Genomic DNA, 22,138 nt, shown 5'->3' on the forward strand with positions numbered 1-22,138 from the left:
CATCTCCCAGGTTCTAGCAATTCTCCCACCTCAGCCTTCCTAGTAGCTGGGATTACAGGCACATACCATCACGCCCGGCCAATTTCGGTATTTTTAGTAGAGACAGGATTTCACCATGTTGGCCAAGCTGGTCTGGAACTCCTGAGCTCAAGTGATCCACGTGCCTCAGCCTCCCAAAGTGCTGGGATTACAGGCATGAGCCACTGCGCCCAGCCTATGTGGCATGCATTGAGTGTGACTGTTGCCAAATGTTTTCAAATTTAATCTCCCAATCTTCACAACAACCCTGTGAGGAAAGGGTCTGTTCCCATCCTATAGATGTGGAAATGGAACCTCAAATGAGAATCTGGGGAACACCAATTTAACAGACAGACCCAAATTCAAATTCCAGCTTTGACATTTAATGTCTGTCCGATCATGAGCAAGTTGCTTCAATACTCCCTCCTCAATTTCCTTATCTATGGGATGGAATTAATACCTAAGGTTACAAGAGGGTTGTGAGGATTAAATAATGCATAAAAACCACCTAGCACAGTTCAGGTACCTGGCATCTAGCATTCGCAAGCTGTTCAGGATTCAGAAATTTGCCCAAGCTCATGCGACTGAGGTAGAATTTGAATCCTTCTCATTCTGATTCCAGAGTTCTTTGTATTGCTTTTTTTTTTTTCTTTTTGAGATGGAGCTGGAGTGCATTGGTGTGATCTCGGTTCACAGCAACCTCCCCAGGTTCAAGTGATTCTCCTGCCCCAGCCTCCCCATGTTGCCAAGGGTGGTCTTGAACTCCTTTGCCATGTTACCGAGGGTGGTCTTGAACTCCTGGGCTCAAGCGATCTGCCCGCCTCAGCCTCCCAAAGTGCTGGGATTACAGGTATGAGCCACCATGCCCAACCCTGTATTGCATTATTTTTGTCTCCAAAGTGCCTAAATCCTCAATATGCATTTAAAAAAAAATAATGGCTGGGCACGGTGGCTTACGCCTGTAATCCCAGCACTTTGGGAGGCCAAGGCGGGTGGATCACGAGGTCAGGAGATCCAGACCATCCTGGCTAACACGGTGAAACCCCAACTGTACTGAAAATACAAAAAAAAAAAAAAAAAAAAAAAAAAAAAATTAGCCGGGCGTGGTGGCGGGCACCTGTAATCCCAGCTACCCAGTATTATTTAATCCTCACAACCCTCCTGTAACCTTAGGTATTAATTCCATCCCACAGATAAGGAAATTGAGGAGGGAGTATTGAAGCAACTTGCTCATGATCAGACTGATATTAAATGTCAAAGCTGGAATTTGAATTTGGGTCTGTCTGTTAAATTGGTGTTCCCCAGATTCTCATTTGAGGTTCCATTTCCACATCTATAGAATGGGAACAGACCCTTTCCTCACACGGTTGTTGCGAAGATTGCGAGATTAAATTTGAAAACATTTGGCAACAGTCACACTCAATGCATGCCACGTAGGCTGGACTACAGTCCCAGCCTGTAGGCAGGAGAATGGCGTGAACCCAGGAGGCGGAGCTTGCAGTGAGCCAAGATTGCGCCACTGCACTCCAGCCTGGGCGACAAAGGGAGACTCCTCTCAAAAAAAAGAAAAAAAAAATCATGTTTATTAGGCTGGACCTGATGGCTGACACCCATAATCCCAGCACTTTGGGAGGCCGAGGCAGGCGGATCATTTGAGGTCAGGAATTCAAAACCAGCCTGACCAACATGGTGAAACCCCGTCTCTACTCAAAATACAAAAATTAGCCAGGTGTCGTGGTGGGCGCCCGTAATCCCAGCGCCATTGCACTCCAGCCTGGGTGACAGAATGAAACTCTGTCTAATAAATAAATAAATATTTTTAAAATCATGTTAAATTTGCAAATGGAGTTGAAAACTCAGCTTCAGACTGGATCTAATGAATCTATTTTAGACTTCTGTAGCCTGCAACTCAAGACCTGTGCACATCTACCCAGGTTGGAATTTGCAGAAGGTTGTCGGTAGCTCAATTCTTTTTCTTTTTTTTTGTTTGCTTGTTTGTTTTTGTTTTTGTTTTTGTTTTTAGACAGAGTCACACTCTGTCGCGCAGGCTGGAGTGCAATGGTGCGATCTTGGCTCACTGCAACCTCTGCCTCCCAGGTTCAAGTGATTCTCCTGCCTTACCTCCTGAGTAGCTGGGATTACAGGCGCCCAACACTGCGCCCAGCTAATTCTTTTGTCTTTTGGAACCATGCTTGATTTGAGAACTGGTGAGAGTGAGTAGAAAAAGGAGCCGGGGCTGGGCATGGTGGCTCAAGCCTGTAATCCCAACACTTTGGGAAGCCAAGGCAGGTGGATCACCTGAGGTCAGGAATTTGAGACCAGCCTGACCAACATGGTGAAACCCTGTCTCTACCAAAAATTCAAAAATTAGCCGGATGTGGTGGTGCATGCCTGTAATCCCAGCTATTTCAGGAGGCTGAAAGAGGAGAATCGCTTGAACCTGCGAGGCAGAGGTTGCAGTGAGCCGGGATCGCGCCATTGCACTCCAGCCTGGGTAACAAGAGTGAAACTCCTTCTCTCCCCGACCAAAAAAAAAAAAGCCAAGTGAGTCTCCTCCAGCAGGTTGCAAACATTCACCAGAGCCCTAGAGCAGGTGGATTAGAGAAGTAGTTCACAGACTGTTTTGTGCCTTAGAATCTCATTAGAGAACCAGTGGTTGGAGGCAGAGCTCAGCAATCTGCATCTTTAATAGCTTCCTTGGTATGAGTTCTTTGAACAGATGTTATGGTTCTAATGTGTCACATGTCCTGGAGACTTAGCAGTGAAGGAGACAGACATGGTTCCTGCTTTCTTGGGATTTACTGTCAAGTGAAAGAGACAGACCTTAGACCGTTATGCAACTAATTATTTTTTATTTTTTTTTTTAATTTTTTTGAGATGGAGTCTCACTCTGTCAGCCAGGCTGGAGTGCAGTGGTGTGATCTTGGCTCACTGCAGCCTCCGTCTCCTGGGTTCAAGCGATTCTCCTGCTTCAGCCTCCTGAGTAGCTGGGATTACAGACATGCGCTACCATGCCTGGCTAATTTTTGTATTTTTAGTAGAGACGGGGTTTTACTATGTTGGCCAGGCTGGTCTCAAACTCCCGACCTCAGGTATCCACCTGCTTCAGCCTCCCAAAGTGCTGGGATTACAGGCGTGAACCACCATGCCTGGACAAATTATTTAAATTACAATTTTGATTGGCACCTCAAAGGGAAAATATGAGGTGCTGTGAGGGCATTCACCACCTAGCAGGAGAGCCTTTTCTTCCAAGGAAATATGTTGGACTTTTGCAGAAGCTCCAACACATCCAAGAACAGCAATTTCCCATGCACTGAAGCACCTTCTTGAAATCTCAGGGCTCCATGGAACAGAGTTCGAAAACTGCTCATTCATATTCCTCTGTAGTGGATGCTGTCATGTGCTACCCAGACTATGGCACTCGTTTTCCCACATCTCCCACTCCATCAAGTTGCTGAAGAATTTCAGCTGAGTCTCTCTCTGGCCACTATCCTGAGTTGAAGGGAGCCACTTAGCTCATGGTTACGCCTCCTTCCAGCAGTCTGCCTCCAATGACTGGTTGATGGGAGAGAAGAGTACAGAGGCCCGGACCCTCAGCCTCCATTTGAAACAACTCTGAAGGATTATCCCAGCTTTATTGTACCCCTTAGGATCAGATGAATCCTCCATTGCAGCAGCATTGCAGCCCAACTTCTGCCCAGTTATGCTTCTCACTGTCCTGTAATATGATTCCCCAGTAAACCCTCTGTAGGCAAATCTCCATCTCAGTCTCCTTAAAAGAGTACTTAAAACACTCTCTTATTACAGATGGTTAAAATAAGGACCAGAGTGGGGAAATGACCTACCTGAGGTCTCACAAGCCTGAACCTTCAGATCCTCTTCATAGTCTGTCACCACCCTGTGCCACAGTCCTACAACTTCCTGCTTTGACTTGCCCTGCCTGAGGCTAGAGGCAACAGCTGTAGTGGCCAGAATAGGTTCTCACTCCAATGGCTGGAGACCTTGGACAAGTCAATTCCCCTCTCTGGGGAGGTTAAGTATTGCCTGAGTTCAACATCTTCTCTCAAGTCTACCTCTGTGCAATGTGCCTGGTCCTGAGAAAAACCATGTCTCAGCTGGTGATGGCAGCAGAAATTCCTTCCGCCCATGTTTGAATCACCTCTGACCTCACAGTTGGATTATATTTGGAGTGGTGGTGGGGAGCTTTGAGTTCTGTCCCATTTCTGAGTTTCCAAACTCACATTTCAAGAAGGAACCTCTTTTCTTTTTCTTTCCCTTTTTTTTTTTTTTTTTTTTTTGAGACAGAGTCTTGCTCTGTCACCCAGACTGGAGTGCAGTGGCATGATCTCGGCTCACTGCAATCTCCGCCTCCCAGGTTCAAGCAATTCTCCTGCCTCAGCCTCCCGAGTAGCTAGGATTACAGGCGTGTGCCACCACGCCCGGCTAATTTTTGTATTTTTAGTAGAGACAGGGTTTCACCATGTTGGCCAGGCTGGTCTCGAATGCCTGACCTCGTGGTCCACCCACCTCGGCCTCCCAAAGTGCTGGAATTACAGGCATGAGCCACTGCGCCCAGCAGGAAGCTCTTTTCTTTGTTCATGCCAACATTATCAAGTACTTTATTGTGTCCCAGCCCCTGCTCATGCTGGCAGTACAGCAGTGAATAAGACAGACAGCTGTGGTCCTCATGGGCCTATAAACCCCAGTGGGAAAAATGAACATCACACAAATTCTTTTTTTTCTTTTTTTGAGATGAAGTCTCACTCTGTCACCTAGGCTTGAGGGCAGTGGCACAATCTCTTCTCACTGCAACCTCTGCCTCCTGGGTTCAAGCGATCCTCCCACCTCAGCCTCCTGAATAGCTGGGATTACAGGCGTGTGCCACCACGCCCGGCTAGCTTTTTGTATTTTTAGTAGAGGCAGGGTTTCACCATATTGGCCAGGTTGATCGTGACCTCAAGTGATCTGCCTGCCTTGGCCTCCCAGAGTGCTGGGATTACAGGCGTGAGCCACCACGTCCAGCTCGTCACACAAATTCTTGTGATAAGCCCTGGGGAAAGAAAGAGCACAGGGAGCTATGAGAAAGTACAGCCTACCCTGGACTTGAAGGATAAGAAAGGATCGGCCAAGGATGAGAGGGGAGAAAAGAGCATGGAGCAAAGATAACTTCTGGCAGAGGAAACAGCATGGGGAAAGGATTTGAAGCAGGAAGGAGAAGGCAGCCTTGTAGGGACAGAAGGAGCTGGGAGAACATAAGAAAGGCTGAGGCTGAGAAGAAAGCCCCAGGGCAGATCTAGCAGGACCTCACAGGGTACATCAGGAATTTTGGACTTTACCCTATGGGCAATGGGAAGTCTTCAAAGGAAATTTTGCTGTTTATTACAAAATAGTTTGTATTTATTAGAAGAAAGAGTGGAGAAAGTAGTAAGGCTTATTTAGGAACTTCTTTGTGCCAAGTAGCCCATGAAGTACATCACAGGCATGTTTTTCGTTTTTGTTTTAGTTTTTTTTTTTTGAGACAGGGTCTCTCTCAGTGGCACCATCACAGCTCACCGTAGCCTCGACCTCCTGGGCTCAAGCCATCCTCCTGCCTTAGCCTCCAAGTAGCTGGGATTACAGGTGCAAATTACCATGCCTGGCTAATTTTTTATTTTATTTTTTGCAGAGACGTTGGTCTTGCTATGTTGCCCAGGCTGATCTTGAACTCCTGTGCTCAAGCAATCCTCCTGCTTTCTCCTCCCAAAGTGCTGAGATTACAGGCGTGAGGCACCACACCCAGCCCGGCAGGATCTTATTTAATTTTCACTGCCGCACTAGATAGTAGAGCCCACTATTAGCTCCTTTTTTTTTTTTCCCAGATGGAGTCTTGCTTTGCTGCCCAGGCTGGAGTGCAGTGGAGTGATCTCGGCAACCTCCACCTCCCAGGTTCAAGCAATTCTCCTGCCTCAGCTTCCCAAGTAACCAGGATTACAGACGCCCACCACCACGCCCAGCTATTTTTTGTATCTCAGTAGAGATGGGGTTTCGCCATGTTGGCCAGGCAGGTCTTGAAACTTCTGACCTCAGGTGATCTGCCCAACTCGGCCTCCCAAAGTGCTGGGATTACAGGCATGAGCCATCACGCCCAGCATTTTTTTTCTTTTTTTTTTTTTTTGAGACGGAGTTTCGCTCTTGTTGCCCACACTGGAGTGTAATGGCACAATCTCGGCTCACCGCCACCTCTGCCTCCTGGGTTCAAGCGATTCTTCTGCCTCAACCTCACAAGTAGCTGGGATTACAGGCATGTGCCAACACACCCAGCTAATTTTGTATTTTTAGTAGAGATGGGTTTCTCCATGTTGGTCAGGCTGGTCTCGAACTCCCGACCTAAGGTAATCCGCCTGCCTCAGCCTCCCAAATTGCTGGGATTACAGGCCTGGCCTTTTTTTTTTTTTTTTTTTTAAGATGGAGTTTCGCTCGCTCTGTCGCCCAGGCTGGAGTGCAGTGGTGCGATCTCGGCTCACTGCAACCTCTGCCTCCCGCGTTCAAGTGATTCTCCTGTCTCAGCCTCTCGAGTAGCTGGGGCTACAGGCGCCTGCCACCAGGCCCGGCTAATTTTTATATTTTTAGTAGAGATGGAATTTCACTATGTTGGCCAGGCTGGTCTTGAACTCCCGACCTTGTGAGATGCACCCACCCCGGCCTCCCAAAGTGCTGGGATTACAGGCATGAGCCATCGCACTTGGCCTTTTTTTTTTTTTTTTTTTTTGAGATGGAGTCTTGCCCTTTCACCCACGCTGGAGTGCAGTGGCGCAATCTTGGCTCACTGCAACCTCTGCCTTCCAGGCTCAAGCCATTCTCCTTCCTCAGCCTCCCGAGTAGCTGGGATTACAAGCACGTGCCACCACCCCCGGCTAATTTTTGTATTTTTAGCAGAGACCAGGTTTCACCATGTTGCCCAGGCTGGTCTAGAACTCCTGAGCTCAAGCGATCCACCCACCTCAGCCTCCCAAAGTGCTGGGATTACAGGTGTGAGCCACCGTGCTCAGCCTATTATTTCCATTTTAAAGTGGATCCCAAACACCACCCAGAGGATCCATCTTCCTTCTTTAACCCTTACAAAGTGCTTCTGTTTTCTGAGGCATTTTTTTTTCTAAAATTATAATCATTTGTGTGGCTTCGTCATCTCCCCATTCAATTGGGGGTCCCAGGAAGGCAGGGATTTTTGTCTGGTATGTTCTCTACTGCATTTATCTCCAGAGCCTAGCACAGGGCCTGACATGTAGCAGGGGTTGAAGAAATAGGTGTGGAATACATGCTTGTATCCACCAGGATACCTGGGCTAGTTCTGGGCCCAGGTGGCAGTGCTTAAGAAACAATAGCCTCCTGCTGCTGTGGACATGGCCTCTGCTCTGGCTGTCTCTCCCTGCCTGGTTGTCTGTTAAATGGCCAGCTCTCAGATACTCAGCACCAGTCTGGTGTCGGGGAAAGAGCTTGGACTTTGGAACCAGACAAATGAGGCTCAAATCTGAGTGCAAAGCCATCTGGAATGAGGCAGAATTTAAATAAACAAGATCAAGTACCCGTATGGCTCTTGGTAACTTCCTTTAATTTCTTCATCTATAAAATGGGAACATTACCATCTACATAAAAAAAAATTATTGCTGGGCACGGTGGCTCATGCCTGTAATCCCAGCACTTTGGCAGGCTAAGGCAGGTGGATCACTTGAGGTCAGGAGTTTGAGACCAGCCTGGTCAACATGGTGAAACCCCCGTTTCTATTAAAAATACAAAAATTAGCTGGACTTGGTGGCAGGCACCTGTAGTCCCAGCTACTTGGGAGTCTGAGGTGGGAGAATAGCTTGAACTTGGGAGGTGGAGGTTGCAGTGAGCTGAGATGGCACCATTGCACTCCGCCCTGGGAGACAGAGTGAGACTCTGCCTTAAAAAAAAAAAAAATTGTCAGAATCAAATGAGAAAATGTTGGATTCCATAGGCCAGGCTTTAAAAAGAGAAAGAGAAAATGATTATAAAGTGCCTGTTTAGTTAAGTTCTTCTTTTCAGCAGAAGACAGAGTCAGTACCATTTTCTTAGATTCAAAGCCACAGGTTCCTCATCTATGAAATGGGAGTTGTGAGATAAAAGATAGTATAGAATTCCCACAACCTGGAATGCTCTTCTCCAGACAAGCTCTTTCTAAACCTGCAGTTTCACCTTTAACATCGTCTCATCAGAGAGTTCGGACCTGACCCCTGTTTCTCAGCCTCACCCTGCCCCTTCCCATTTCTTTTCTCTTCAACACGTTTCATAATCTTTATTGTTTCCTGCCTGTCTCCATGTTCACCGTTGTATCCCAATGTCTACCATATGCTAGCATAAGTGCTCAATAAATGTTTGTTGTTTTCATTACATTTTTTTTCTTCCCGTTTATTTTAGGTTCAAGGAGTCATTAAATATTTTGGCGGCAGAGTGGAGTGGCTCACACTGGTAATCCCAGCACTTTGGTAGGCTGAGGTGGGAGGATCGCTTGAGCCCAGGGGTTCAAGACCAGCCCCTGGTCTTGAATGAGACCCAGACTCTACAAAAAATAGAAAAATTAGCTGGAGGTGGAGGCACGTACCTGTAGTCCCAGCTACTTGGGGGGCTGAGGTGGGAGGATCGCTTGAGCCTGGGAGGTCGAGGCTGCAGTGAGCTGTGATTGCACCACTGCACTCCAGCCTGAGTGATGGAGTGAGACCATGTCTCAATATCTAAATATACACATACATATATAAATATAAATATATATATATATATATATTTTTTTTTTTTTGAGATGGAGTCTTGCTCTGTCGCCCAGGCTGGAGTGCAGTAGCACTATCTCAGCTCACTGCAAGCTCCACCTCCCGGGTTCATGCCATTCTCCTGCCTCAGCCTCCCTAGTAGCTGGGACTACAGGCGCCTGCCACCACGCCTGGCTAATTTTTTGTATTTTTAGTAGAGACGGGGTTTCACCTTGTTAGCCAGGATGGTCTCGATCTCCTGACCTTGTGATCCGCCCATCTTGGCCTCCCAAAGTGCTGGGATTACAGGCGTGAGCCACTGCGCCTGGCCTATATATATATATATTTTTTTTTAATCACTTATTTATGAGCCAAGACTGTTCTAGGCAATCCTAACCACAATCCTGAGACATAGGCAAAGTGAGGATTTTACCAATTTTTAGCTATGAAAGCTGAGGTCTAGCAATATTAACATTGCCCAGACATGTCCCAAGCAAATGAGCAGGAGTTCTAAACTCTCCAGAAAGTGCTCTTTCCACCCACCCTTCCACTGCCTTCCAAGGGAAGGAGCACTGCAGGCCCAGGTACTAGTCCAGGCACTGTCTTAATTTGTGGCTTTAAGATGTAAACAAGTCACTTCTTTCCCTGAAGGAAAATGTTAGTTTCCCCATCTCTAAAATGGGGAGAATCTTTGACCTGATCAGTGGTTAAGAATCAGCTGAGTTGACTGACATGTTGTGGTAAATTAAAAAATAATAATAAATTTTTTTTTAAAGAATCAGCTGAAATAATAGGCTGAAAGCATTTAATAAACTGAAATGCACTCACTTATGGAGGAGGTTTGTTTGTTTTTGAGACAGGGTCTCATTCTGTCGCCAAGGCTGGAGTGGCACGATCTCCTCTCACTGCAGCCTCCGCCTCCCAGGTTCAAGCAATTCTCAAGCTTCAGCCTCCCAAGTAGCTGGGATTACAGGTGTGCGCCACTATGCTCCACTAATTTTATATTTTTAGTAGAGATGGGGTTTCCCCATGTTGGCCAGACTGGTCTTGAACTCCTGATCTCAAGTGATCCACCCGCCTTGGCCTCCCAAAGTGCTGAGATTACAGGCGTGAGCCACTGCACCCTGCCGATGAAGGAATTTTTAAATATTAATATGCAGAATGAACATTCTTCCCAGAAGACACTGTGGGCTGGGGAAGCCAGGGAAGTTTCCTAGAAGTGGTGGCATTTCAGCTGGGCCTCCGGTGCTCCTGGGTAAGAATTTGGGGAAACAAATCTCAGAGCCAAAGTCACTGACCAACCAAAGAAGAACCCTCTAAGCCTCTTTTCCTGTTTCACATTGATATCTTCCTCCAATCTGCATTTCCCTGCCGCAATTTATTTTTTCCTTTCAAACCAAATTTATACAGTAGAATCTGCATATAATAAAATGCACACTTTTTTTTTTTTTTTTGAGACAGTCTCACTCTGTCACCCAGGCTGGAGGGCAGTGGCATGATCTTGGCTCACTGCAACCTCTGCCTCCCGAGTTCAAGCGATTCTCCTGCCTCAGCCTCCCTAGTAGCTGGGATTAACAGGCGACCGCCACCACGTCTGGCTAATTTTTTGTATTGTTAGTAGAGCCGGGGTTATACCATGTTGCCCAGGCTGGTTTCAAACTCCTGAGCTCAGGCAATCCGCCCGCCTCAGCTTCCCAAAGTGCTGGGATAAAAGGCGCGAGCCACCGTGCCCGGCCAAAACGCACTCATTTTAAATGCAGACATTTCCATGAGTTTTGAGAAAAGCATACGCCTATGCAACTACCATCCAAATCTAATTTCCTTGTGCTCCTTTGCAGTGAATATCCCATCCTGCTTTCTGGCCCCAGGCACCCACTATCAGCTTTCTGTTATTACAAATTAGTTTTGTTTTTGTTTTTGTTGTTATTCTTAATCCATTTAATTCTTTAGCAGATGACAAAGTTTTGCATTCAAAAATTAGCTTTTAAGTTTAGAACACAAACATAATGCAACAAAATGTATTAATTCACTAGTCTTAAGACAATATTGTCATTGTGGAGTGTTTGCTAATGAATGCAGAGGTCATTAGATAAATTGACAGTAACCTATTGAAGAAAAGAACTATAATAATCATAATTTACACATTTACTGAAGAGAGTTTGACCATTAATAAAAATTATACCTACACATCGGGTGTGGTGGTTTACATCTGCAATCCCAACTACTCAGGAAGCTGAGGTGGGAAAACTGAAGCTGACCCCAGGAGTTCCAGAAAAGCCTGGGCAATGTTGCAGGATTCCATTTCAAAAAAATTATACCGCACTTTGGGAGGCCGAGGCAGGTGGATCACAGTCGGAATTTGAGACTAGCCTGACCAACATGGAGAAACCCTGTCTCTACTAAAAATATAAAATTAGCCGGGTGTGGTGGCACATGCCTGTAATCCCAGCTACTTGGGAGGCTGAGCCAGGAGAAATCGCTTGAACCCAGGAGGCGGAAGTTGTGGTGAGCCAAGATCGTGTCATTGCACTCCAGCCTGGGCAACAACAGCGAAACTCCATCTCAAAAAAAAAAAAAAAATTATACCACACTTTGGGAGGCCAAGGTGGGTGGATCACCTGAGGTTGGGAGTTCGAGACCAGCCTGGCTAACAAGGTGAAACCCCGTCTCTACTAAAAATACAAAAAATTAGCCGGGCGCGGTGGCAGGCGCCTGTAGTCCCAGCTACTCGGGAGGCTGAGGCAGGAGAATGGCGTGAACCCGGGAAGCGGAGCTTGCAGTGAGCCGAGATTGCGCCACTGCAGTCCGCAGTCCGGCCTGGGCGACAGAGCGAGACTCCGTCTCAAAAAAAAAAAAAAAAAAAAAAAAAAAAAAAAAAAAAATTAGCCGGGCGTGGTGGCACATGCCTGTAATCCCAGCCACTCAGGAGGCTGAGGCAGGAGAATAACTTAAACCCAGAAGGCGGAAGTTGCGGTGAGCTGAGATTGTGCCATTGCCCTCCAGCCTGGGCAATAAGAGCAAAACTCTGTCTCAAAAAAAAAAAAAAAATTATACCTAAAAAACTTACAATAAGTACATAGATAACGTGATCACTTCTTGAGAAATGATGACATATAAATGGCAATATTTTCTATTAACAAATATTTGTTATTATTCTTATTTTTTGAGACAGGGTCTCACTCCACCGCCCAAGCTGGAGTGCAGTGGCACGATCATGGCTCACTGCAGCCTCAACCTCCCTAGCTCAAGTGATCCGCCCACCTTGGCCTCCCAAAGTGCTGGGATTACAGGCCTGAGCCACCACACCTGGCCTCATTGTGTAATCTTTTGTGTTTGTCTTCTTCGTTACCATAAAGCTTTTGAAGCTAATTCATGTTGTCGTGTGTATCCATAGTTCATTCCTTTTTGTTGCTGAGCACAATACTATTGTATGGATATATTACAATTCATTTATTCATTCATGAGTTGATAGACATTTGAGTTGTTTCCAATTTTGGCTATTATGAGTAAACCTGCTATTTATGTGGACATACCCAGCTATTTTTATTTTTTATTTTTTGTAGAGATGAGGGTCTCCCTATGTTGCCCAGACTGGTCTAGACCTCTTGGGCTCCAGTGATCCTCCTGCCTTGACCTCCCAAAATGCTGGGGCTACAGAGATGAGCCGCTGCACCCAGCTCCAGTTCCAGTTGCTCTGCATCTTTGCCAACACTTGGTATTGTCAGTCTTTTGACAGTCTTGTTGACATTGGTCTAGTGATTAAAACCCTATGCACTGGAGCCAGAGTTCAAATTCCAGCTCTACCATTTGTTGTATGACTTTAGGTGAGTCACTTCACCTCTGTTAGTCTCAGTTTACTCTTCTGGGAAAAGGGATAATAGTTCATAAGATCCTTATGTCTATTCAGTTAAATCAGTGGTTCTTACTTAGGGATGATTTTGTCCTCACGGGATATTTGGCAAAGTTTGGAGACATTTTTGGCTGTTACAGGGGGCCTCTGGCATCTCAGTGGGTAGAGGCCAGGGAAGCTGCTAAACATCCTCCAATGCATAGGGTGGTCCCTTTGAACACAGAGTTATCCAGTCCAAAAAGTCAATGGCCCTGAGCTTGAGAAATTCTGAATTATATAATGCACGTAATGTGTTCAATACAACACCTGGCACATATCAACTGCTTAGTAAATGGAAAACAAATAGACTTTGGGGAAAAAACGTGTTTTCAGGAGGAGCAATCTGAGTTTGATGGATCCAAATCATCATGGTCCTTTTCCCAAATATCTACCACAAGGCTGTTATGACGTGAGGAGGCTCACAACAAAGAACAACTGGTTTTATCACATAAATACCACGGAAACCAAAAAGTGAGCAATATGTTCAAGACAGCAGACCTGTAGCCTTGGACCTTGGACTCCTCTGTGTGGGGGAGGATGGGAAGGCTCGCACGTTCCATGCCTCCTCCCCCGCCAGGCAGCATCTCCCCTGGCTGGAGTTCCAGCTGTTGTCTGGGTCAGCGCAAACAGAGACCTTTGGGCTGCCCAAGATCCAGGATTTACAGCCCACAGACTCCTCCCAGTTTACCGGAGTGTTTGGAAGACATTCCAGGTCAGCAGGAATTAAGTAGGGCCCCCGAGGGGAGTGTGTGTCACGTGGTCTGACGACACAGCCAGGATGAACTGGAGAAGGGCAAAGCATAGTCCAGAGGAAAGTGCAGTCAAAGCAGAATTGATTCAAGAGAGTCAAGCATTTAGCAACATTCGTTGTGCACCTACTGTGCCAGCCTCTTCCTCTCCTACGTGGGAGGCCCTTTGGAATAGAGGTTAGGAGGACAGTCTCTATGTAGAGGACATTTGAATCCCAGCCCTGCCAGCACTAGGTGTGTGTCCTTTGCAAGAAACATCATCTCTCTGAAACACATGGTATACATGCAATAAATTATGGGTGTACGTATGTCTCAGTCCTCACAAAAAGATATTTATGGTAAGAGCTATTACCATTCCTATTTTACAAAAGAATAAACCAAGGCTCAAAGAGGTGAAGGACTTTGTCCAATGTCATAGGACTAATTAAGTAGCAGAGGATCACTGTGACAGGCTTTTAGGGAGATGGAAAGATGAGTAAGATGGAGTCCCTGACTTCAACAAGCTTGGGGTCTCATAGAGGAGATAAAGGCAGGTAAAAGTCTAATTTCCAGCAAAGAGACAATGAGAGGTGCTAATAAAGAGCATTCAGCGGCCAGGCGCAGTGGCTCACGCCTGTAATCCCAGCACTTTGGGAGCCCGAGGCGGGTGAATCACCAGGTCAAGAGATCAAGACCATCCTGGCCAACATGGTGAAACCCCGTCTCCACTAAAAATACAAAAATTAGCTGGGGGTGGTGGCACACACCCGTAGTCCCAGCTACTTGGGAGGCTGAGGCAGGAGAATTGCTTGAACCCAGGAGGCGGAGGTTGCAGTGAGCTGAGATTGCACCACTGCACTCCAGCCTGGCAACACAGAGAATCTCTGTCTCAAAAATAATAATAATAATAATAATAATAATAATAATAATAATAAATAAAGAGCATTCAGGTGTGGTTAAGGTACGACTGAGGTCAATTCCAGCTGGTGGCAATCAGGAAGGCTTCACAGAGGAAGTGGTGGCTCAGCTGGTCTTTGAAGGTGAGTCAGATTGAAAGCACAGTCAGAGACTGAAGTTCCAAGAAGTGTGACCATTGTGTTGGGCCATAGGATGTGTACATGTCAGGGTGGTCACAGATCTGGCAGGGAAAGTTGATAAATTGGGCCAAGATTATTTGGTGAAAATGGGCTGGGATTACAGGCCCGATTCTTTATAATAATATTTGAGTCTTGCTGGGCATGGTGGCTCACACCTGTAATCCCAGCACTTTGGGAGGCCGAGGTGGGCAGATCACCTGACGTCAGGAGCTCAAGGCCAGCCTGGTCAACATGGCAAAACTCCATCTCTACTAAAAACACAAAAATTAGCTGGGCATGGTGGCGTGTGCCTGTAATCCCAGCTACTCTGGAGGCTGAGGCAGGAGAATTGCTTGAACCCAGGAGGCAGAGGTTGCAGTGAGCCAAGATCATGCCACTGCACTCTAGCCTAGGCAACAATAACAAAACTTCATCTCAAAAAATAATAAAATAAAAATAATATTTGAGTCTCTAGATCCAGCTATGCCTGAAGTCTTCACCTATACTATTCAATTCCATAAGCAAAACATTCTCTTTTATGAGTAAGACAGGTTTGGTTGGGTTTTTTGTCACTTGCAGCTGGAAGAATGCTGACTGATACAAAGAGTCTCAAATCTCATCCTAAGGAATTCTACATAGGTTCTAGAAAGACATGAAAGGGAGAGGGGAAAATAGCCAGTGAGAAGGAAAAAGATGTGATAATTACTGAAACAAGCTCCCTAGAGGGCAGAAAGAATTGGAAGTAGAAGAGAAGGCAGGCCGGGTGCGGTGGCTCATGCCTGTAATCCCAGCACTTTGGGAGGCCGAGGCGGGTAGATCATTTGAGCTCAGGAGTTCGAGACCAGCCTGGCCAACATGGTGAAACCCCGGCTCTACTAAAAATACAAAAATTAGCCGGGTGTGGTGGCTCACACCTGTAGTCCCAGCTACTTGGGAAGCTGAGGTAGGAGGATTGCTTGAGCCCAAGAGTTTGAGACCAGCATGGACAACACTCCATCTCTACAAAAACAAGAAAATTAACTCGACATGGTGTTGTACACATGTTGTTCCAGCTATTGAGGAGGCTGAGGCTAAAGCGGAAGGATTGTTTGGGCCTGGGAGGTCCACGCAGCAGTGACCTGTGATTGTGCCACTGCACTCCAGCCTGGGCAAGAGAGCGAGACTCTGTCTCAAAAAAAATACAATAAAATCATGTTATCAGTGAATAGTATGAGCATGGAAAGATAGATCCAGCATATTGTTTAGTGATAAACCAAGTTACAAAACAGTATGGACTATATGATTTCTTTTTTTCTTTTTCTTTTTTTTTTTTTTTTTTTTGAGATAGAGTCTCACTTTGTCACCCAGGCTGGAGTGTAGTGGCACCATCACAGCTCACTGCAGCCTCGACCTCACGGGCTTAGGTGATCTTCCCACCTCAGCTCCTGAGTAGCCGGCAGGCACCACCACACTCAGCTAATTTTTTGTATTTTTATGTAGAGATGGGGTTTTGCCATGTTGCCCAGGCTCAAACTTCTGGCTCAAGTCATCTGCCTGGGCTGCCCCGGTATGATTTCTTTTGTTTGTTTAAAAATATACATATTCAGTTAATAGGGTTGATAATAAAGAAAATAAATAAGAAAAAACAAAAATAAATACATAAAAAATAAAAATAGATTTATATGTAGAACCAGGATGGTGGCACAGACCTGTAGCCCCAGCTACTCAGGAGGCTGAGATGGGAGGATCACTTGGGTCCAGATGTTCGAGTCCCGCCTGGTCAACATAACAAGACCATGTCTCTAAATATTATATATATATATTTATATTTTTATATGTCTGTAAGAAAAATACCCAAAAGACATTGAAACAGAGTATCATTACCTCTTTCTCCTTTCTTCTTTGTTCATTAACCCTCAAGTTTGTTTAGGTATTCACCTTTCAGAAAAGGTGACCACAGCCAGAGGTTAGCTGGAGGCTTAATTCTAAGTCAATTATGGTAATGCCAGTGATTGGGCTAGGGGCATTCACGTGAGGGAGTTTTGGCCAATGAGATGGGAAAGGGAGTCCGCTGGGAAGCCTGAGGGAAGAGTTTCCTGGTTTAAAAAACAACAAAGACGCTGGGCGGCGGTGGCTCACGCCTGTAATCCCAGCACTTTGGGAGGCCGCGGTGGGCGGATCACAAAGTCACAAGTTCAAGACCAGTCTGGTCAACATAGTGAAACCCCGTCTCTACTAAAAATACAAAAAAATTAGCCGGGTGTGGTGGTGGGCGCCTTTAATCACAGCTACTCGGGAGGCTGAGGCAGGAGAATCCCGTGAACCTGGGAGGTGGAGTTTGCAATGAGCCGAGATTGCGCCGTTGCTCTTCAGCCAGTGTGACAGTGTGAGACTCTGTCTCAAAAAAACCAACAACAAAGAGAGGCAGGGCACGGTGACTCACGCCTGTAATCCCAGCACTTTGGGAGGCCGAGGCAGGCAGATCATCTGAGGTTAGGAGCTCCAGACTAGCCTGGCCAACATGGTGACCTCTTCTCTACTAAAAATTAGCCGGGCGGTGGCGCACGCTTGTAGTCCCAGCTACGCGGGAGGCTGAGGAGGGAGGATCGTTTGAACCCGGGAAGTTGAATCACGGAGGTTGCAGTAGCTGAGATCCCAACACTGCACTCCAGCCTAGTTAACAAAGTGAAACTCTGTATCAAAAAAACAAACAGAAAAAAACCAAAAAAACAAAACAACAACAACAACAACAAAAACAATGCTGGGCCTATAGTCCCAGCACTTTGGGAGGCCAAGGCGGGTGGATCACCTGAGGTCAGGAGTTTGAGACCAGCCTGGCCAACATGGTGAAACCCTGTCTCTACTAAAAATACAAAAAATTAGCCGGCCATGGTGGCCGGCATCTGCAATCCCAGCTACTCGGGAGGCTGAGGCAGGAGAATCACTTGAACCCAGGAGAAGGAGGTTGCGGTGAGCCGAGACTGCGTCATTGCACTCCAGTCGGGGCAATAGAGCGAGACTCCGTCTCCAAAAAAAAAAAAAAGGCCAAAAGTGGAAACAACCCAAATATCCACCAACCATGAATGGGTAAAAAATATATAGTATGTCTATATAATGGAAGATTATTCAGTAATATAAAGAAATGAGCTACTGATACATTTTGCAACATGAATGAACCTTGAAAACATTATGCTAAGTAAAAAGAAGTCAGCACAAAATACCACATACTTTATGATTCCATTTATATGAAATGACCAGAATAAGCAAATTTATAGGGACAGAAAATAGGAGGGTTTTTTTGTTTTGTTTTGTATTTTAGAGAGAATCTCATTCTGTCACCCACCTGAAGTGTGCTCATCATAGCATAACACTGCAGCTTCAAACTCCCAGGCTCAAGTGATCCTCCTGCCTCAGCCTCCTGGGTACCTGGGACACCATGCCTGGCTAATTTTTTTTTTCTTTTTTTTAGTATGTTTTGTAGAGACAGGGTTTTGCTGTGTTTCCCAGGCTGGTCTCGAACTTCTGGGCTCAAGCCTCCCAAAGCAAGCCAAAAGGCTCAAGCCTCTTGTCTCAGCCTCCCAAAGTGCTGGGATTATAGGCATAAACCACCAAAAAGTAGATTAGCTGTTGCCTGGGGTGGAGGGGAGGAGAGTTGCGGAAAACTAGAGAATGACAGATAATAGGTGCTAAATTTCCGTGGCGGATGATAAAAATGTTCTAAAACTAAGTGTGGTGATTGTTGCACAATTCTGTGAACATACTACAAACCATTAACTTTTTTTTTCTTGATACATGAAAAGCTGCACTTATTTAACATATACAACTAGATGAGTTTGGGATGTATATTTGATGGGTGAATTATATGGTATGTGAATTGTATCTCAATAAAGATATTATTTTAAAAAGAGAGGAAGGTATTTCCAGGAATCGGTAGCCCTTCTTTGTTCCATTACAATCTAGTGGAGCTGGATGTCATGTCCTCAGGCAGTTCTTGGAACTATGAAAACAATCTTTTAACCACGGAAGAATGAAAAATGGCAACGTGACAAGAATGGAAAAACAGAGAATTCAGGTCCTTGATAAAATCTTGGAGCTACTGAAAGAACCAATTCTAGAGCTTCTCTATTTTGGGGCTTCTTAATATAAGACGTAATAAATTTTTCTTAAATAATTCTGACATATTTTATTTCTAGTAATTTATTGAGGTAAAATCCACATAACCATAAAGTTAACTTTTGGGGGAGGGGTATGATAGGGTCTCACTCGGTTGCCCAGGCTGGAGTGCCATGGCACAATCATAGCTCATTGCAGCCTCAAACTCCTGGGCTCAAGCAGTCCTCCGATCCCAGCCTCCTTAGTAGTTAGAAATACAGGCACACATCACCAAGCCCAACTAATTAAAATTAACCATTTTGGCCACGTGCAGTGGCTCATGCCTGTCATCCCAACACTTTAGAAGGTCGAGGAGGGAGGATCACTTGAAGCCAGGAGACCAACCTGAAGAGCAAAACAAGATCCGTTGCAAAAAAAAAAAAAAGCCAGGCATGGTGTCATGCACCTGTAGTTCCAGCTACTTGGGAGGCTGAGGCAGGAGGATCCCTTAAGCCTAGGAGTTTGAAGCTGCAGTGAACTAAGATCTCACCACTGCACTCCAGCCTGGGCAGCAGAGTGAGATTCTGTCTTAAAAAATAAATTAACCATTTTAAAGTAAACAATTCAGGGGTCTTTAGTACAGTCACAATGCTGTGCAACCACCACCTCTATCTAGTTCCAAAACATTTTCATTATTCCACCAATTTGCATTTTGTCCCTGTAGATTTATCTTTTTTTTTTTTTTTTTTTTCTCGAGACAGAGTCTCACTCTGTTGCCCAGGCTGGAGTGCAGTGGTGCGATCTTAGCTCACTGCAACCTCAGCCTCCCAGGTTCACGGGATTCTGGTGCCTGAGCCTCCAGAGTAGCTGGGATTACAGGCATGTGCCACCACACCCAGCTAATTTGTGTATTTTTAGTAAAGACGGGGCTTCACCATGTTGGCCAAGCTGGTCTTGAACTCCCGGCCTCAAGTGATCTGCCTGCCTTGGCCACCCAAAGTGCTGAGATTACAGGTGTAAGCCACCACGCCGGCCTGATTTATCTATTCTGAATGCCTCATATAAATAGAATTACGCAGTGTATGATCTCTTGTGCCTGTCTTCCTTCATTTAGCATAAAATTTTTTGAGGCTTATTTAGATCATAGCAGGTATCAGCACTTCATTCTTTTTTATGTCTAAACAATATTCTTTTGTATGTATTTGCTACAATTTGTGTATGAGCCATCCATTGATGGACACTTTGGCTATTTTGACTAGTGCTGCTATGAAAAAGTGTGTACAAATAATTGTTGGAGTACATTTTTCCAATTATTTCAGGTGTATGCCTAGGAATGGAATTGCAGGGTTATATGGTAATTCTATGTTTAACTTTTTTTTTTTTTTTTTTTGAGACGGAGTCTCTCTCGCCCAGGCTGGAGTACAGTGGGGCCATCTTGGCTCACTGAAACTTCTGCCTCCCGGGTTCAAGCGATTCTCGTGCCTCAGCCTCCCGAGTAGCTGGGACGATAGGCACACACCACCACACCCAGCTAATTTTTGGTATTTTTTTTTAGTAGAGCCCAGCTTCCATGAGGTCAAACTCCTGACCTCAAGTGATCTGCCCACCTCAGCCTCCTAAAGTGCTGGGATCACAGGTGTGAGCCACTGTGTCTGGCCGTCTATGTTTAACTTCTTGAGAAACTGCTCAAATGTTTTCCACAGAGGCTGAGCCATTTGGCCTTCCCACCAGCAGTTATTATTATTATTATTTTAATTGTTAAAGCCATCCTAATGCATTTGAAGTGGTACTTCATTGTTGTTGATTTTGTTTTTACTTGCAGCTAAAAACATATAAATTGATACAGGTGTTAAAAGTGGTAGAATTATGGTTGTTTAAAATATTTTCTTCATTTTGATTATCTATATTTTGTAATTTTTCTGTAATCATACTAATATTTATTAGGTTCTTACAGTGTATCAGTACTAACGCTAATATACAATGTACTAAGCATTTTATATACATAATATCACTTATTTCTTATTTCTCACAACAAATCTATAAGACAAGTAAAAACTAAGGGACAGGGAGGAAAAGCAACTTACTCCAGGACACACAGCATGTTTTAAGCATAGGGTCTAGGATTTTTTCCTAATTAAACTTTTAATTTTGAGATAATTATAGCTTCACATGCAGCTATAAGAAATAATATAGGCCAGGCAAGGTGGCTCACGCCTGTAATCCCAGCACTTTGGGAGGCTGAGGTGGGCTCATTTGAGCCCAGGAGTCATAGACCAGCCTGGGCAGCATAGGGAGACTCCATCTCTACAAAAAATGTTTTAAAATGAGCCAGGAGTGGTGGCACGCGCCTGTGTTCTTAGCTACTTGGGAGGGTGAGGTGGGAGGATAGCTTGAGCCCAGGAGGCCGGGGCTGCAGTGAGCCATGATTGTGCCACTGCACTCCAGCTTCGGTGACAGAATAAGACCCTGTTTCAAAAAAGGAAGGAAGGAAGGAAGGGAGGGAGGGAGGGAGGGAGGGAACAAAGAGATCCTGTGTACTCTTTACCTAGTTTCCCCCGATGGTAACTTCTTGAAAAAATACAACACAGTATCACAACCAAGATATTCACATTGATACAGTCAAGACACAGAGTATTTCCAACACTACCAGGATTCCTCATATTGACCTTTCAATAGCCAACCCCACTTCCTCCTGCCTCTACCTCCTCCTTTACACTGGTAATTCTGTCTCCATTTTTATAATTTTGTCATTTCAAGAATTTTATATAAATAAATCATACAGTGTTTAATCTTTTGAGACTGGCTTTTTTTCACTCATCATGATTCTCTGGAAATTCATCCAGATTGTTCCAAGTATTCATATTTGTTCTCTCTCTTTTTTTTTTTTTTTTTTTTGAGACAGGGTCTGGCTTTGTCACCCAGGCTGGAGTGCAGTAGCGCAATCAGAGCTCACTGGCATCACCGACCTCTCTGCCTCAAGTGATCCTGCCACTTCAGCCTCCCGAGTAGCTGGGACTACAGGTGTGTGCCACCATGCCCAGCTAATTTTTGTAATTTTTTGTACAAGTGGAGTCTCCCTGTGTTGCTCAGGCTGGCCTTGAGCTCCTGGGCTCAAGTGATCCTCCCACCTCAGCCTCCCAAAGTGTTGAGATTACAGGCATGAGCCACAATGCCCGGCCTCGTTTCTTTTTATTTCTGGGTAATACTCCATGCTGAGTGGTATTCTGTGGATGTACCATGGTTTGTTTAACCATCCACCTATTGAAGAACATCTGGATTGTTTCCAGTTTGGGGATACTACCAATAAAACTGCTTTAAACATTCAACTACAGGTTTTTGTCTTAATGTAAGTCTTCATTTCTCTGGGATAAATGCTCAGGATTGCAATTGCCAGGTTGTATGGTAGCTGTGTGATTCTTTTTTTTTTTTTTTTTTTTTTTTTTGAGATGGAGTTTTACTTTTGTCGCCCAGGCTGGAGTGCAATGGCAGGATCTTGGGTCACTGCAACCTCCTTCTCCTGGGTTCAAGCGATTCTTCTGCCTCAGCCTCCTGAGTAGCTGGGATTACAGGCTCCCACCACCACTCCCAGCTAATTTTTGTATTTTTACTAGAGAT

At 45.2% G+C, this 22,138-nt stretch overlaps 2 annotated features.

Moving 5' to 3' along the window:
* Positions 6,309-7,303: an enhancer, noted in NCBI's record as "OCT4-NANOG-H3K27ac hESC enhancer chr1:28616419-28617413 (GRCh37/hg19 assembly coordinates)". NCBI's record gives its function as "activates a minimal SCP1, AML or CMV promoter by ChIP-STARR-seq in primed H9 embryonic stem cells {active_cell/tissue: H9 hESC(primed)}" and the evidence as "EXISTENCE:reporter gene assay evidence [ECO:0000049][PMID:30033119]".
* Positions 14,396-14,545: an enhancer, noted in NCBI's record as "active region_595". NCBI's record gives its function as "activates an Ori minimal core promoter by ATAC-STARR-seq in GM12878 lymphoblastoid cells {active_cell/tissue: GM12878}" and the evidence as "EXISTENCE:reporter gene assay evidence [ECO:0000049][PMID:35858748]".

The sequence above is a fragment of the Homo sapiens genome, chromosome 1, assembly GCF_000001405.40.
Source record: "Homo sapiens chromosome 1, GRCh38.p14 Primary Assembly".
NCBI lineage: Eukaryota > Metazoa > Chordata > Mammalia > Primates > Hominidae > Homo > Homo sapiens.